Here is a 19087-nt window from a genome sequence, read left to right on the forward strand (position 1 = left end):
GTGGGACCTTTAAGATGTGATGAGGCCAGGAGGGCTCTATTTCATTAATGCCATTATCACAGAAGTGGGTTCTTCATCTAAGGACAAGTTCAGCCTCCTATTGCTCTCTCTCTCTTGTCCTCTCTTTGCTCTTCTGCCATGGGATGATGGGGCAAGAAGGTCCTATCAAATGCCAGCCCCTTCATCTTGGGACTTCCCAGCCTCCAAACCCATAAGCAATATATTTTTGTTCATTAAAAATTACCCAGTCTTTGGTACTGTGTTATAGCAGCACACAACAGACTAAGATAGTATTATCTCCATTTAAAAATAAAGAAACAATCTTAGAAAAGTTAAATATCCTACCCAGGTCACACATGTTGTTAGTGGGTAAATGCTCAAATCAGGAACTGAACGCAGGTCTTTCTGAAGAGAAACTATGACCTTTTAACTCTTTTTTAAAAAAATTTGGGCCGGGTGTGGTGGCTCACGCCTGTAATCCCAGCCGAGGTGGGCGGATCACGAGGTCAGGAGATGGATACCATCCTGGCTAACACAGTGAAACCCCGTCTCTACTAAAAATACAAAAAATTAGCCAGGTGTGGTGGCGGGCACCTGTAGTCCCAGCTACTCGGGAGGGTGAGGCAGGAGAATGGCTTGAACCCGGGAGGCGGAAGTTGTGAGCTGAGATCGCGCCACTGCACTCCAGCCTGGGTGACAGAGTGAGACTCTGTCTCAAAAAACAAAAATCAAACAAACAAAAAAAATTATTTCTCTTTACTGAGATTCCCAAAAAGCTGGAAGTCTGTGTTTATTAAACTCCTATTTCTTATCAAACTTTTATTAAAAAGTTCATTAAAGGATCTATGGCTATAACAACTATTTAACATATATGTGGACCACTAAATTCAGGTAAATTAATAGAAAATATATTAAAATGTTTAATAAAATGTAAACATATTTTAATTAATAATAACAATGATCGTTTTCTACCACAATATTTTACCAGTGTCTCTTTACCTTATTAGTGATGGCTCACTACTATAAGCACTCAGAAGTTAATTCAGTGAACCCTAAAAAAGCTGACAGCCAAATGCTTCAATTCAGGAAATAGTAATAAACTGATTCCTAATACAGTCTTTTTTTTTTTTTTAAGATGGAGTCTCACTCTGTTGTCCAGGCTAGAGTACAGAGTTCAGTGGCGTGATCTTAGCTCACTGCAACCTCTGCCTCCCAGGTTCAAGCAATTCTCCTGCCTCAGCCTCCTGGGTAGCTGGGATTACAGGCATCCACCACCACGCCCGGCTAATTTTTTTGTCTTTTTAGTAGAGATGGGGTTTCACCATGTTGGCCAGGCTGGTCTTGAACTCCTGACCTCAAGTGATCCATCCACCTCAGCCTCCCAAAGTGCTAGGATCACAGGCATGAGCCACTGCGCCCGGCCCCTAATACATTCTTTAGTTGCATTTGGACTTGGAAAATATTTCTTCAAATCCTATTTCAATGCACAAAAATACACATTTTTCTTACCATATCCACTAGCATATCATTAATTTCTTTCTCTAAACAAGTGATCAAAATTATCCAATGCTGGGAAGGAGTTAAACTTCACCATCACAGTTCAATCTTTAGAAATCCTATTATCTACTCAGGCACAGTGGTGTAGTCCCAGCTACTTGGGAGGCTGAGGCACGAGAACTCCTTGAACCCTGGAAGTGGAGGCGGATGCAGTGAGCCAAGGTTGTGCCACTGCACTCCAGCCTGGACAACAGAGCAAGACCCTGTCTCAAAAAAAAAAAAAAAAAAAGAAAAAAAGAAAAAAAAAAAGAAAAGAAACCCTATTATCTTATCCTCAACATTCAACATTAAAAATCCTATTTTGGCTCTATTCCGGAAACTAAAAAGTCACAGAAGTAACTTTTTATTGACATCGTATTATGAATAAATGTTTTCATCTCATCCTATATTTCAAAAACTTACATGAGCACCTTTTGTTTTTATAATATACTTCAGAAATGGAAACCAAAGCCTTGACTCAAGATATTTTCAGGAAGATGAAACAATTTTCACTTGATTATTATAGTTTTAATTATATTCATAATTTGTATTACATTCAACAATTAATCATGATTAGGAAGCAAAATGTTGACTACCAACTCTTTTTTCTGAATAAAACAATGTCAGCAATTACATTACAGTACAAGTTATTTTATTCTACTATCACTTAAAACTTAGTTTTTCCTTGATGCTCAAAGCTAGTACTGTGTCAGCGCTGACATAATATATATTTTCCAGTCTAAAAAAAGTCACAAAAGAATCATTAAACTAAGAATTTCTTCTCCTGGTTTTTCTGTGATAAAATAGTAAGTTATCTTGCAGATCTCCCTCATACATACACCATAGAAGTACAAATACCTCATTTCTACAATGCACACTGGGAGTTGCATTCAAACAAAAGGAAATATATATTCAAGCCAGTATTTAACAGTACTGACTCTTTTACATTGTATACCATGAATACAGGATTATCCATAACGTCATACGATAAAAGAATATTGTCAAATAGCTTATTCTGCCTCTTCTTCCAGAACAGTCCAGTCAATAGCTTCATAAGTGAATTTCAGTCTTTTTGGCAAATATTTCCCTACTTCCTAAAACATTCATTAATGATTAAGTTTTTCTCAATTTAAAACTTGACTATCATTTGCTTCTCTGACATTTGCTATACTAGGATACTGTGTATATAAGGTAGTATTTGATTTTATACAAAACTTTATTTATTTTTAAGTTAAAAATATGTATTTCATGGTGTTCTCTTTATTTCCCAGTTTGTGAACTCAATTTTAGAAACAAAACTGTGCCAGCAGTGAGGAAGATCTTGGATTAAGAAGACTCAAGACACCATTTTGGAGTCTTAATATTCTAAGCAAGAAATGCAGTGTACACAAATGGAACAGACTTAAAGCTGTTTTAGAGGTGGAAACCAATAGGATTTTTACATCCAAGAAGAGGAGGAAACTTCAAAAATGGCACTAAGTTTCTAGCTTAGGAGCTGAGAGGATACGCTATTAATTAAGAAATAAATTTGGTTTTAAATATTCTTGGTTGAGTTGTCAATTACCTGACAAATAGATAAAAAGGACTGGAACTCAGGAGAATTAGGGATTTCTAATATATGAGTTCTTTTGCTTTTGTTTCCCTGCCTCACCACTTAAAGCTATGTTTGGGGCAAGTTTTTCAATGCTGACATGGAGATTAAAGGGAAAGAAAATGCAACAGGCTAGGGGGCAAATATGTTACAGGGTAATCTAGGCCATGTGGTAAATGCAATATATAACCCAGCTGGGTCATAGTTTTTGTTTTTTTGTTTGTTTTTTGAGACAGAGTCTTGCTCTTGTTGCCCAGGCTGGAGTGCAGTGGTGCGATCTCGGCTCACTGCAACCTCCGCCTCCTGGATTCAAGTGATTCTCCTGCCTCAGCCTCCAGAGTAGCTGGGATTACAGGCATGCACCACCACGCCCAGCTAATTTTTGTACTTTTAGTAGATACAGGGTTTTGCCATGTTGGCCAGGCTGGTCTCGAATCCCTGACCTCATGTGATCCACCCGCCTCAGCCTCCCAAAGTGCTGGGATTAAGGCATGAGCCACTGCGTCCAGCTGGGTCATAGTTCTTAATCAGGGCTCATTATATTCATACTGGGGTTGGGGGGACAGGGGTTTGCAAAATAAATCTCCTAAGCGCCACCCTGGATATTACTTCTTTGATAGATCTGGGGTAGAAACTGAGAGTATACTTATTTTTTTTTAAGTTCCCTGAATGGATTGACTCAAAAAGGGTTATGAGAGAACTTTCTGTAATTATAGAAATATTCTATTACGACCGGGATGGAATACTATTCGACCTTTAAAAAGCAGAAAATTCTGTCATTTGTGATGTGAATGCATGTAGAGACACTATGCTAAGTGAAATAAACTAGGCAAAGAGAGACAATATCCAGAATACATAAAGAACTCTCAAAACTCAGTAATAAGAAAATAATCAACCCAATAAAAAATTAGCAAAAGATTAGAGTAACACACTTCACCAAAGATATATAGATGGAAAATAAGTACATTAAAACAGACAACAACAAAATGCAAATTAAAACCACAATGAGATGCCGCCACATACTTATTAGAATGGGAAAGAACAAACCTGACAAAACCAAATGTTGACAAGGATGAGGAGCAGCTGGTCTCATATATAGTCAGTGAGAATGCAAAATGGTATAGCTACTTTGGAAAACAGTTTGGCAGTCTTCAATAAAGTTAAAACAGAAGACAAAAATCATCAACAGTGGAAGCACATAAAAAGACCACAAAGCTAACAAAACTGAAAATCAAAATACAGAATAACTTAGAAATAGAAATGGGCAGAATCCACACAATATCGCCAAATAACTATGACATGTAGGTGTTTCTAGGAGATCACAATAATTTGAAAGAAAAACAGTGAAATGACAGAAACCACAAAAAGACAGGAGAGTCAAAACCAATCTAACTTAATTAGTAAACTTCAAACAGTAAACACAACAAATGGAATAGAAAAAGTATTCACAAATATGTTAGAAGAAAAATAATTCCACCAGATTATCATGCTAATGGAGCAACAGACATTCTCTAACTAAAAGAACTTGAGGGAGGGGCAAAAGCTGGACAATGATATCAAGCCAAACAACAGATAAATGGAGATAAAAGGACTGCTGATAAGTTCTGAATTTATTTAGGAGTAAAAATGGGCTGGGCATGGTGGCTCACACCATTTTCCCAGCACTTTGGGAGGCCAAGAGGGGTGGATCACTTGAGGTCAGGAGTTCAAGACCAGCCTAACTAAAATGGTGAAACCCCATCTCTACTAAAAATACAAAAATCAGTCAGGCATGGTGGCACGCGTCTGCAATTCCAGCTACTCAGGAATGAGGCATGGGAATTGCTTGAACTCAGGAGGCAGAGGTTGCAGTTAGCTGAGATCATGCCACTGCACTCCAAGCCTGGGCGACAGAGTGAGACTCTGTCTGAAAAAAAAGGAGTAAAGGCCGGGCGCGGTGGCTCACATCTGTAATCCCAGCACTTTGGGAAGCCAAGGCGGGCGGATAACCTGAGGTCAGGAGTTTGAGGCCAGCCTGGCTAACACGGTGAAACCTTGTTTCTACTAAAAATACAAAAAAATTAACCAAGCGTGGTGGTGCACGCCTGTAATCCCAGCTACTCGGGAGACTGAGGCAGGAGAATCACTTGAACACTGGAGGTTGAGGTTGCAGTGAGCTGAGATTGCGCCATTGCACTCCAGCCTGGGTGACAAGAGCGAAACTCTGTTTCAAAAAAAAAAGAGTAAAAATAACTGGGAATTTTGGTGTATAGAACAAAATAAAACAGAACTATTATAAACTTCAACAAAGTAAGAATAATCTGGCACTGGTGGTAGAAAGAAATACAGTATGTTAAATGATCCATACCATGAAAGATAAGGAAATTGGACGTTGCCCAAAATGAGACACTTATTCCTAACATTTCATATTTTCATAAATGGAAGCAATTTCTACTTCACAACCAAGATGAAAAAGTAAAAGGAACATCTTCAATTTATCTCTGCCTCTGCATTAAAAAACAAGGAAGTACACATGCTCAACCCAGCCCTATAGGATGTAGTTTCTATTCTCCCATGCAGTAAAATTATAGAGGCATTATCCACTCCTGCTGTGGTTGACAAGCACAGTCTATGACTATGTTGCTAAATAAGTCTAATTCAAAAATAAAGTATCATAAGGCTCATTCTGACTACACAGTCGTACAACCTAGTTTTTACTAGGAATAAAGTGAATATTATTTCTGACAGTACAACCCTCCTTTGTGTGTGTGCATCTCTCCTTTGATTAGTCCGAAACTGGGAAAGTGAAGATTATTGCCCATCCCCCAACACCAACTTTACAGTTCAGTAAAATCATAATTCTAAAATAATTTTTAAAAGTTTATCCTAAGTTTAGCTATTCTTACATTTTACTTCCTTGTTATATTCAAGTAAATTTACTTCTTTTTATTTTAAAATGGTGTACATAATATGATCCCATCTTCATTTCTCTATATCCATTCATCCTTTTATCTTTAAATGTACATAGAGAGACCCAGAATGATTTACATAATGTTTAAGATGGTTATTTCTAGATGGTAGATTAAGTTTTGTTTTTTGTTTTTTTTTTAAGACAGGGTCTCACTTTGACACCCAGGCTGGAGTGCAGTGGCACGATCTCGGCTCACTGCAGCCTCGACCTCCCAGGTCCAAGTGATCCCCCTGCCTCAGCTCCCCAAGTAACAGAGACTACATGGGACTACAGACATGTGCCAACACATCTGGCTAATTTTTGTATTTTTTGTTGAGATGGGGTTTCACCATATTGCCCAGGCTGGTCTCGAACTCCTGAGCTCAACATCCACCCGCCTCGGCCTCCCAAATTGTTAGGATTACAGGCATGCAACACTGTGCCTGGCTTAGATTAATTTTGTTGTTGTTGCTGTTGTTTGTTTTGTTTTTGCTTTTTCAAGACAGAGCCTTGCTCTGTTGCCCAGGCTGGAGTACAGTGGCACTGGAGATCATGGCTCACCACACCCTCGACCTCACATGCTCAAGTGATCCTCCCACCTCAGCTTCCTGAGTAGCTGCGACTACAAGCACATGTCACCACACCCAGCTAATTTTATTTATGTATTTGTTTGTTTGAAGAGACTGAGTCTCACTATGTTGCCCAGGCTGGTCTTGAACTCCTGGGCTCAAGCAATCCTCCCACCTTGGTCTCTCAAAAGGACTCAATAAAACAAATAGGAAATAGTCTACAGAAGTGTTTGCAAACTATGGCCCATGGGACAAATCTGACCTGTGGCCTGTTTTTGTATAGCCCACAAGTTAAGAAAGGCTTTTAATTTTTAAAGGGCTGCATAAAAAAAAGAAGAATATGAGAAAGAGACCCTATGTGTGGCTCACAAAGCTGAAAATATTAACTGTCTAACTCTTCAAGAAAGTTGCCAGCCCTTACTTAGTCTATACTATCGACTCTATATTGACAAAAGGTACAATCTACTGGAACTCATAATTCACTGATACACAAGAGAATTTTATATATTAAGGAAATCAAATTTTATCTCACAGACTCCCTTTTATCCCTTGGGATGTTGTCTTTAGATGCTGACATGGTGATATCGGCATGCACAACTTTTATGATTATCTAAAGTTCCCAATCTTTTCTTTTTGATTTTAGGACTGCATGTTAGGAAGACTTTTCTCTTTTCAAAGGCAAAAAAAAAAAACTTCCTTAGTTTTCTTCTACTACTTTTATAGTTTTGTTTTTCACATTTTAAATCTGTGACATCTGGAAAAGAGGCCCTTCCATGACTAGGAGTAAATAACAGTCTATACAGAAAGATACCAGACTGCAGATTAATGGGGGGAAGAAGGTGTTGGAAAAGTGTAGGGGACAGGAGAAGGAAGACAATGAACAGGAGTCTGTGACAAGGCTGGAATCTTGAAACTGACTGAATGATAATTTATAGGTTTCCTTCTGACAGATGTTCTCAACCGAGGATGTTCCATGGGCCATAAGGCAGTCAGTTCCTAACTATTCCATAAGAACAAGAGCTTCAGTAGAGAACAAGATCCAATCATCATTCTCTTTGTATCTGAATTTATCTCTAGATTGTTGTATTTCTCTTTGTTGCTATTATACACAGAATTTTTCTTCCTGTTATATTTGCTAACTGGTTGCTTATATGTAGCAAGGGGCCAGCCAACTATGGGTCAAGCCAGCTCACTGCCTTCTTTGTAAATAAAGTGTTACTGGAACACAGACATCCTAATTAGTTTCATGCTACAATAGGAGAGGTGGGTAGCTGAGAGAGAGATCATATGGCCTGAAAAACCTAAAATATTTATCATCTGGCCCTTTACATTAAAAGTTTGCCAATCTCTGATATATAGGGAAACTATTTGATTACAATTTTTTGAGGTAAAATTGTAATACATATAATACAAAACTAATAATTTTTTCTTTGAGACAGCGTCTCACTCTTTTGCCCAGGCTGGAGTGCAGTGCCATGATCTTGGCTAACTGCAACCTCCGCCTCCTTGGTTTAAGCAATTCCTGCCTCAGCCTCCTGAGTAGCTGGGACTACAGGTATGTGCCACCATGCCCCGCTAATTTTTGTATTTTTTTTGGAGAGACAGGGTTTCACCATGTTGGTCAGGCTGGTCTCAAACTCCTGACCTCAAGTGATCCACCCTTGTCAGCCTCCCAAAGTGCTGAGATTATAAGCATGAGCAACCGCACTCAGCCCAAAATTAATAATGTTAAAATGTACAATTCAGTGGCATATGAGTACATTGATAATGCTCTGTGACTATCACCTCTATCTAGTTCCAAAACATTTGTATCACAAATGAAAACCCTGTACTGATTACCTTGTACCCATTAAGGAATCACTCTCTATTTTTCCCCCTGCCCCGAGCTACCACTAATTTGCTTTCTGTTTCTATGAATTCACCTGTTCTGGATGTTTCATATAAACGGAATCATATAATATGTGATCTTTGGTGTCTGGTTTCTTTCACTTAGAATGTGTCTGACATCCATGTTGTAGTATCTCATTTCTTTTTATGGTTCCATCATGTGAAGAGACCATATTTTGTTTATCCATTCATCAGTGGACAGACATTTAGGTTGTTTCCACATTTTGGTGATTGTGAATAGTGCTGCTATGGACATTCATGTATAAGTTTTTGTTAGAATGCCTGCTTTAAATTCTTTTGGAATTCTGTGAGTGATATTGCTGGTAATTCTATGTTTAACTTTTTGTGGAAATGGCAAATTTTTCTACAGCAGCTGTACTATTTTATTCTCTCACCAGCAATGTACAAGGGTTCCAATTTCTCCACACCCTCGCCAACAATTACTTTCCGTTTAAATTTTTTTTTTTTTTTTGAGATGGAGTCTTGCTCTGTCATCCAGGCTGGAGTGCAGTGGTGCAATCTTGGCTCACTGCAAGCTGCACCTCCCAGGTTCACACCATTCTCCTGCCTCAGCCTCCCGAGTAGCTGGGACTACAGGCGCCCGCCACCACGCCCAGCTAATTTTTTGTATAAAATTTTTTCAATAATAGTCATTTTGGTGCATATGAAGTGGTATTGCACTGTGGTTTTGTTTTGCATTTTCCTAATGACTAATGGTGTTGAACATCTTTTCAGGTGCCTGTAGCCATTGTTTGTTATATATATATTATATATATAAAGTATATATATAATATATATATAAAGTATATATATAAAGTATATATATATAAAGTATATATATAAAAAGTATATATATATAAAGTATATATATAAAAAGTATATAAAGTATATATAAAGTATATATATATAAAGTATATATATAAAGTGTATATATAGTGTATATATATAAAGTATATATGTAATATATATTAAGTATATATATAAAGTATATATACATATATATACTTTAAACTTCGACAAATAAAACTGAAAAGACAGCACATCAACAGAAAAATGAACAAGACAATTAAAAGGTAATTTACAGAAAGAAAAACCTCCAAAACTAATATGTATAAGAAATGCTCAAACTTAGTAACTAGAAAAGTACAAATTAAAAGAATCAAACATCAGTTTATGCTTATTAGATCAGTAAAGTTTATAAAGCTGGATAATTTTTAAATGTTGGGACATAAGGATATGAGAAGACTCATGCATTGTTAGTGGGAATATAGACTTGTTCAGCTACTGTGAATAGCAATCTGGCATTTCTTAGTCAAACTACATATGGGGCTAACCTATGTCCCAGCAATTCTATTGATTTGTATATACACTCCAAACAAATACTTAACACAGAGTCATGTGCAAGGATGTTCAGTGCAGAACAATTTGTGGTGTCAGGAAACTAGAAGTAAACAGGTAGCTATCATTAAGATAACAGATATAATATGGTAAAGGTCTCACAGAGCATTATACAGCTGTTAGAAGCAATGGATTAGCAGTATCAACATGAGTACATCTTAGACATTTAGTGCTTGTGGGAAAAAAACAGAATAAGAAATACAACACAATAGCATTTATGTAAGTTAAAAATAAATGCACATAAAACAATATCTGTTTTGCATGAACACACAGTTACAAAAAGATAAATATATTAGAATATAACCACAATGTATACTGTATAACAAACAATGCATTTATGTATGGGAGAAGGGAAATTCAAATAGGAATAAAGGAGGCTAAAGAAAGAAAACAAGGAAGAGACCTTACATAAACCTGTAATGATAATGTCTTAAACTAATTCTCTGCACCTAAGGCTAATAAAAATTGTATCTAGCCACATCGCTGGATTCTCTTATTTTTATTTATTTATTTATTTATTTATTTATTTATTTATTTATTTATTTATTTTGAGATGGAGTCTCACTCTGTCGCCCAGGCTGGAGTGTAGTGGCGCGACCTTGGCTCACTGCAAGCTCTGCCTCCCGGGTTCACAGCATTCTCCTGCCTCAGCCTCCTGAGTAGCTGGGACTACAGGCACCTGCCACCATGCCTGGCTAATTTTTTTTTTTTTTTTTTAGTAGAGACAGGGTTTCACCGTGCTAACCAGGATGATCTCGATCTCCTGACCTGGTGATCCCCCTGCCTCGGCCTCCCAAAGTGCTGGGATTACAGGCGTGAGCCACAGCGCCCGGCCTGGATTCTCTTATTATTAATAGTACCTTTTCAGTTGATTCTCCTAGATATTTTGGGATATAATAATATTGTCCTAAAAACAGCAATAAATTTTACTTCCTCTTCCATTTTTATACCTTTTATACTGCATTAGTTAGTACCTCTGGCACAATAAGTAATAGTGATGACAGCCAGCATTTGTATCTTGCTCCAGACTTTGTAGAACTTCTAAATTTTACCCATTAAGCATGATGCTGACTTTTGAGCTGATTTGGTAGCCTTCTATTTCTGGTTTAGTACTAAATTTTATTAGGAATAAATATTGAACTTTATCAAAAGTATTTTCAGCATCTATGGAAGTGATCATATAATTATACTCTGATCTACTAATATAATGACATATTAATATATTTCCAATACTGAATTATTCCTGCATTTTCAACATGAATGTAGGATATACATTTAAAATATGCTTCTGTATCCTATTTGATAATTCTACACATTGTTTCCTCTTCTTTTATCATGTTTTAGAACAATTTATATATCACTGAAGTCACATGTTTCTTAAACTTTGGTAGAACCCAACTATGAAACTATCTAAGCCTGATGTTTTTTGTGGAGGTAACTCTTTGACAATATTCTTTATTCCTTCCATAGGAGTTATGCTTTGAAAAGATCAATAAAGTATAAAAACATCTAGCAAGTCGAAGAAAGAAAAAGAAGAAAAAAATAAATATCTATTAGTAATGTAAGAAAGGGACTATCATAGCAATTGTGGTACTTATTAAATAAAAGATATGGTATACAACTTTAGCAATACATGTGAGAATGGAAGACTAGATTTAACGGCAGGTATTTTAGGAAAATATGCATTAATAGCAAATTCAATTATCAAACTGACTGACAAGAAACCTAGAATAACCAATAAACACAAATGAAATAAAAAGTATGTCAAAGATGATCTAAGTCAGGAATTGTTTCACTGCAATGAACAGAAATCTACTCAAACTAGGTCATACAAACAAAAAAAAGCATTGGAAGAATATAGGAGTATTTCATGGAAACTTGTGCTCAAGTAGTATAGTCAAGTCTAAGGATTCTGGAATGTTAGAACCCAACTCCTTTTTGGAATTGAATTCTCTCTTGTTTGTTCCTTTCTGCATATGTGTTCATTCTTTTGTCTTTCTACAACCACCTTTCTATGCAAAGATATCTATTTTTTATGACTACTCAGTGCCAAGGCCCAATACCAACTGACTACAGTCTCTGCATCCCTTTTCCAAATTCCAAATGGGCAAAGCTTAGCTCAGGTATCAATTATTGACTCAATAAACCTTCCAGAGGAGAAAGAATGAAAGTAGATTACAGAGTCACCAGCTACTAAATTAGAGGCTAAATTCATGTATTAACTAGGGGTTTGATGTGGGCAGTTTGATGTGTGGACTGGACAGGAATCTCGAAATTGCTATAAAAATAATCTGACTCCTCTCAAAAACCCCTGACCCAAATTGCTTTATAGGTGAATTCTAGCAAAGGTTTATGGAACACAGAAGTCCTATGTTATTTATACTGTTGGGGGCATAAAAAGGATAGGAAGTTACTATAAGGCTAACATGATCTCATTGTTAAAATTAACAAAATTAGCTCCCAAAAGAAAAATATGAATTAATCACACTTGTGAATAGAGATGTCAAAGTTTCCATGTAAACACACATTCATATTAACACATATGTGCATATATGCACATTTATATTTTCATATTTTAAAACTACTACCAGTGTTGTATTTCTTATCTTCTTATGGGTGATATTACACAGACACTTTCTTCGTATCATTTGAATTCTTTACTATGATTGTATTTTTCATCAGAAAAAATCCACATTTTAAAAATTAAATAGCCTAGAAATGATCGTAAAATATTAAAAATTTACATTAACACTTATATTTACTTACCTCACTGAATTGGAAATGATCCAATAAGTAGTGTTGGAATAACTGGCCATCATTTTGTGGAAAATGATCATCATTTGGGGAAAAAGAAGTTAGAGTGTAACCTCAGTGTCAATGTAAATTCTAGATGGAACAAAGATTTATATGTGTAAATAAAACTCTAAATGTATTACAAAAACATTGTAAATATTTATATCATCTTTGGGTGGGAAAGGGGCATTGAGGCTTATCGCTAATGATATAAACCATAAAAGTTTGAATACAAAAAAGTTTAACATGTAAAATATATTTTTTTATTTCTCTCTCTCTCTCTTTTTTTTTTGAGACGAAGTGTCACTTTGTCACCCAGGCTGGAGTGCAGCGGCGTGATCTCGGCTCACTGCATTCTGTCTCCCTGGTTCAACTGATCCTCTTGCCTCAGCCTCCTGAGCAGCTGGGATCACAGGCATGAGCCACTGTGCCTGGCCTAAAATATACTTTTTAAAAATCATAATCATAAAGACTGCCATTACTGGCTGGGCACGGTGACTCATGCCTGTAATCCCAGCACTTTGGGAGGCTGCAGAGGGCAGATCACTTGAGGTCAGGAGTTCAAGACAAGCCTGGCCAACATGGTAAAATCCTGTATCTACTAAAAACACAAAAAAATTAGCTGGGCATGGTGGTGCATGCCTGTAATCCCAGCTACCAGGGAGGCTGAGGCAGAAGAATTGCATGAACCCGGGAGACAGAGGTTGCAGTGAGCCAAGATTGCACCATTGCACTCCAGCCTGGGCGACCAATTGAGACAGAGTCCGTTTCAAAAAAATAGAAAAGACTGCCATTCCTTTTGTCTTGCTATATGCTCCTCTTTCAGTATTCTCACCCATTACCCTAATTTTAATTATCACCTCTCAAAAGACTGTTTCCAATTAAAAATACACACCTAGTCCCAACTTCTCTTCCTAGCTTCAGTCCCTGCTAACCAACTGTATCGGGATATCCCACTGTTACCCTAACCTCAATACACCTAAAACAAACTTTGATACACCTAAAATTAAGCTTATCCTAATTTCTAAACTAGTTCCTTTTAACTTTGTTATGTCTCTCTTCATGGGATCTCAAAATATAATCAGTGACTCCTCCTTTTCCAAAAACCTACATGTCACTCTACTCTGATGGTTATTCTTCTTTTTAATTATCTTCCTTTCATTCAATCTTTCCTTTCTATTCCCACATTACCCCAAATTATGCCCCTAATTGCAAAAAATATTAACACTAAGCCAGACAATTAAAAAGGGTATTTTAACCTCAAAATTAGAATCTGACCCCATACCATACATAATACCAATAAAAGGCTTGGCAGCACATTCTCTAAGACATATACACTGTAGCACAGTAATTTAATATTAAGTCATTCTATTACAGCCTTTTAACTCCTGCTGGCCTACATCACTTAAAACAAGAAAACTAAATAAAAATACGTGTCATTAAGATATTTAATTTGTTGTTGCTGTTGCTATTGAGAAGACAGATAGGATAAGATAAAAATGGCAAAAGTAACCAGAGTCAATAGAATTCTCTTTTTTTTAAATAGCATTTTTTAATCTCTAGGAAACCCTAATATCCAATTATTTAAAATATGCAACCCAAACCAAATAAAAATATTTGAGAATGAATTTTATGTCAAATTTCAAAAACCTATCGTTATATCTTTTATAATACTAAAAATTATTTTGGTATTACCATCACAGAAATCATACAATTCTAGAACTAGAAGGGACCTTGGCAATTATGTAGTTAACATACATTAAAACTACTAAGCTGGGCTCGATGGCTCACGCCTGTAATCCCAGCACCTTGGGAGGCTGAGGCGGGTGGATTACCTGAGTTCAGGAGTTCAAGAAAAGCCTGGCCAACATGATGAAACCCCGTCTCTAGTAAAAATACAAAAATTAGCCGGGTGTGATGGCGCATGCCTATAATCCCAGCTACTTGGAAGGCTGAGGCAGGAGAATCGCTTGAACCGAGGAGGTGGAGGTTGCAGTGAGCCAAGATCGTGCCACTGCACTCTAGCCTGGGCAACAAGAGTGAAACTCTGTCTCAAAAAAAAAACAACAAAAAACAAAAAACAAAAACTACTAGTGATCTCCAATTTATCAATTCACACAAATAACCAAATGCCTTCTATACCCTGTGCAAAGCATACAGAGGCCATGCTGACTGATGGACATGGCTAATTTCAGTTTGACAAAAATAAAATAGGCTACTGCTTTCTAATAAGTCCAATTCCTATTCCAATCAGTTAAAGTTCTAGACATATGAAGAGTCAGTTGTGTTTCTCAAACACGTTCATGCCAGCTGAACTTATTTTCATCACGTAATTTAAATTTTATATAAACTGAGAATATAAAAAGTAAAGTTTTATAGAAAATGAAACTGAATGCTTCAAAAAGCCTTGATAAAAGGTGAATCACCAAAAAAGTTTGTCTAATTAACTATCTGTAGATAAGACAGCTAAACTAGATGGGAAGAAAAAAATGTACTAAAGGAATTCTGTATTCAAGTTTGCTTCACCATGGTCTTGAAGGTTTTAATCAACTTTAACGAATAATAGGCAATATCAGTCTGCGGGTGTAATTTACACAGGAAAGTCAACTTGAAATTCCATCAGCAAAATCAGCAGAACAATACTCATTTATACATTCAATACACAAGGACATACTGACACCCACCCTGTGCCACGTATTGAGCCACCAGACCTAACTATGGTTTTAAAAATATTACTCTGAATTCCACATGGAACAGATGGGAAAGGTAGGCACAAAAATGGAAGTGGAAAACTTAGGAGGCTTTTACAGTAATCTTGTAAAAAATGCTGGTGGCCTGGATATTATGATAGCAGTGGGAGGGTGTTATTTGAATGGATATGAGATTTAATTTGAAGGGAAAAGCTCTAACAATTGTTTTAGGACTAGATATGAAGTTTGAGTACAAAAAGAAGAAAGGGTAGCTCCTGGGTTTTTGCAGAACTAGGTGAATGTTGACATTTACTGTGATATAGAGAAGCCATGGGAGGTAGAGGAGATGGAGACAAAATCAGCTTAAGATGCTTATTTTGAATCCAAGTAAAAATACTAGATAGGCAAATCTGGAATTCAAGATAGAGGCCAGTGCAGGTAATACACGATAGGAAATTATCAGGTATTCAAGTATGCAACTAGATGAGATCACCTAAAGAATAAATGTGGATAAAGAAGTGAGCAAAAGAACTCAGACCTGGAATCAAGCCTTACATCAAAAACTATCAAATTAATGCACACTTTTCTATTTTTTTTTTAAATGATTTCCTTTTTCAAGTAACTGCAGGTTCCAATGGTGTCACATAAGAGACGATTTCTTAGAAACTCCCTTTTCAGGCTGGACGCAGTGGTGCATGCCTGTAATCCCAGCACTTTGGGAGGCTGAGGCAGGCAGATTGCTTGAAGTCAGGAGTTCAAGACTAGCCTGGCCAACATGGTGAAACTCCATCTCTACTAAAAATACAAAAATTAGCCAGGCATGGTGGCACACACCTGTAATTCCACTAGCTACTCGGGAGGCTGAGGCAAGAGAATCACCTTGAACCCAGGAGGCAGAGGTTGCAGTGAGCTGAAATCATGCCACTACACTCCAGCCTGCGTGACAAAATGAGACCCTGCCTCAAAGAAAAAAAAAAAAAAAAACCTCTCTTTTCATGTAAGTACACTGACTCATGTATCTTCAAGAAGCTGATCTAATTTGGATATGTGTCCCTGCCCAAATGTCATATTGAAATGTAATCCCCAGTGTTGGAGGTGGGGCCTACTGGGAGGTGACTGGATCAAAAGGGCAGGTTTCTCGAATTATTTAGCATCATCCCTTTTGGTACATCTTTACAATGGCGAGTTCTCATGAAATCTGGTCATTTAAAAGTGTGTAGCACCTCCCCCCGACTCTCTTGCTTCTGCCTTTGCTATGCAACATGCCTGCTCCCCCTTTGCCTTCCACCATGATTGTAACCTTCCTGAGGCTCCCCAAAAGCAGACGCTGCTATGCTTCCTGAGCAGCCTGCAGAACCATGAGCCAATTAGACCTCTTTTCTTTATATATAACTCAGTCTCAGGTATTTCCTTATAGCAATGCAAGAACGGCCTACTACAGAAGCATTCTAGAATTCCTCCTCTCTCAGTCTCATATCTCACACCCAGCACTCCCCAACACATACACACAAACACACACACACACACCTCTAGAACTCACACTCATCACCTTTACCCCTTTTCCCACCCCTTTAAAGTTGTCTTTCCTTTGTGCTTTCACAATTGTATTTGCAGATTTCCACAGAGGTCCTTTTTAACATTGTATGTTCTAATTGTCCTTTAGTGGTGTGAAAGTTTCCTTACAGGCAAGAACCATAACCTTCATCTTTGTATCTCCAATGACTTGCACAGTACCTGGTAGATAACAGGCTCTCACTGAATGTTTTCCTGAATGACTAAATGAAGGGAGAGAGATTTACCCAAGGTCAGTCCCACGGCCATTTAATAGGAAAGTAAGAATTATAAAGTAGGTCTTAGTACAGTCAGATGTTCTAAACTTACTTCAGTCTGTCATTCAAAGAATTACATATTCAGGCCTCACCTTATCTATATATTTTATTTCTTATTTATCATCCTGTGAATACACTATGCTCAGTCTTGACTAAAAGTTATCTATATATTTTATTTATTTATCATCCTGTGAATACACTATGCTCAGTCTTGACTAAAAGTCTAGTTATCTAACCAAAATTCACTTTTCCTCAGCCTGTTCAGAACCTATGCCTTGAGCTAATTTCTTACCTCTCTCATAAAAAATCCCCCTCACATTCCAACCTGAATCATTTCCCCCACTCCCCTCCCCTCACCTGCTACACACACCTTTGTTAACATCCTATACAATCTGATTTCTATCCTTACACCTACATTGAAGTGTTATCTCAAAGTTCACCAAAAGCCTTTGTAACAGATAAAGTATAATTTTCAAAACAGTAAAATTATGACTCTCATACAAACATGAAATGAAGATCTGGCAAAAAATTTACGTAATTCATTGATTAAGGAAGAAAGAAATAAGATGTTAAAACTGATTCAAATAAGAATCTGATTTACTATTTCTCAACTTACAAAATTCATTTTCATGGCACAAACATAATTTGCATTGGTATGGGCAGAAAACATTTGTACTGCTTTCAGTTTTCTACAACTTAACTTTTATCCCTTTTTACAGAGTTGTGAAACAGCCTTGTCAATCAAATACAAAGATGCATATCCCTTAATCAGAATCATATAACTCCTGGAGGGTCCTCTAAACAACATCTAGCATTCTAGATATGCAATAATTTCCTTTTCCCACCTCTAAGTCTTTGATAATTTTTCCTACATAATTGTCAAAACTCATCCTAACCTGCCTCCTGTAGTGCAAGGTAAAATCACTCTTGCCACATTCAGTTTCCATAATATGGCACTCTCCTGGATCCTCTTTTTACCTCTCTGGTTCTCTTTCGCCTCCTTCACCAGCTCCTATTCATCTTAAACATAGTATTCGCTGAGTTTTTTCACTGGGCTTTTGACTAACATAACTTTTTATGGCTGTATCCAATCTCATCCAGGCATGCTTCATCCATTACTTATACAGGAATTATTCCCATATGCACAGATCCAATGTCTATAATTCCCAGAGTGAAATTTCTATTTTCTCCATTTCTCATGTTGATATCTTAGCAGTGCTTCAAATTGGTCAACAACCTAAACTCACTCTTTTCCTCACCTACCTATGGTCTATTTCTGTGTTTCCTAACTTAATGTCTAATTGTCACAGAGGCACAAAGTATGAGGATCTTACACTCTACTTTCTCCCTCACCCTCCTCCTCTGTGAAACTGTGTTTTCCAGGCAGTCACCTAAGCTTTTCACTGTACCTCTACAGGCTTCCTCTTATATCTTCCCCTTCCTCATAGCCTTTCCCCTTGTTTAAGCCTGTATTATCTTTCACTTGAACTGTTGATAAAGTCTCCAAACTAGTATCTTGACTCTCTCTTCTAACATTCACTCAGCTGCTAAATTTATATTTCCCCAAACAAGGGCAGCTTTTCTGAACTATACCCACTTATCTGAGTTCTTATATAATAGGCAACAATGTTGTTTTAGGATATCCACCTACTTCCTACTCATTTTACTTCAGTTACTTCAGTTCAGTCAAGCTGATTCCACCAGTGAAGCACACTTCAGCTAAGACAATCATAAACTCATGATGACTAGTTCAGAAACTGGCCCAAAAGAGCCAATGAAGTGCCATAAGACTTTTGCTGAGACTTCTGGGCCAAAGGTGTATGCTTTTTGCTGAGATAAATGCCATTGTTATTGCTATATTTTGC

General features: G+C 37.1%; 1 protein-coding gene across 16 annotated transcripts in view; it reads right to left on the minus strand.

The window, feature by feature from the left end:
• Positions 1 to 19087, minus strand: part of CRY1 (cryptochrome circadian regulator 1) — a 102186-nt gene that overhangs the window by 68895 nt on the left and 14204 nt on the right. For 2 of the 16 annotated variants that reach the window (NM_001413464.1, NM_001413465.1), the window contains exon 2: positions 12677 to 12796. The exons of the other annotated variants lie outside the window; for them this stretch is intronic. In NM_001413464.1, the coding sequence (NP_001400393.1) occupies positions 12677 to 12750 (74 nt within the window). In that variant the 5' untranslated portion in view covers positions 12751 to 12796. The remainder of the gene's footprint in view (positions 1 to 12676; positions 12797 to 19087) is intronic. 16 annotated transcript variants of the gene reach the window in all.

The sequence above is a fragment of the Homo sapiens genome, chromosome 12 (genome assembly GCF_000001405.40).
Source record: "Homo sapiens chromosome 12, GRCh38.p14 Primary Assembly".
Taxonomy (NCBI): Eukaryota; Metazoa; Chordata; class Mammalia; order Primates; family Hominidae; genus Homo; species Homo sapiens.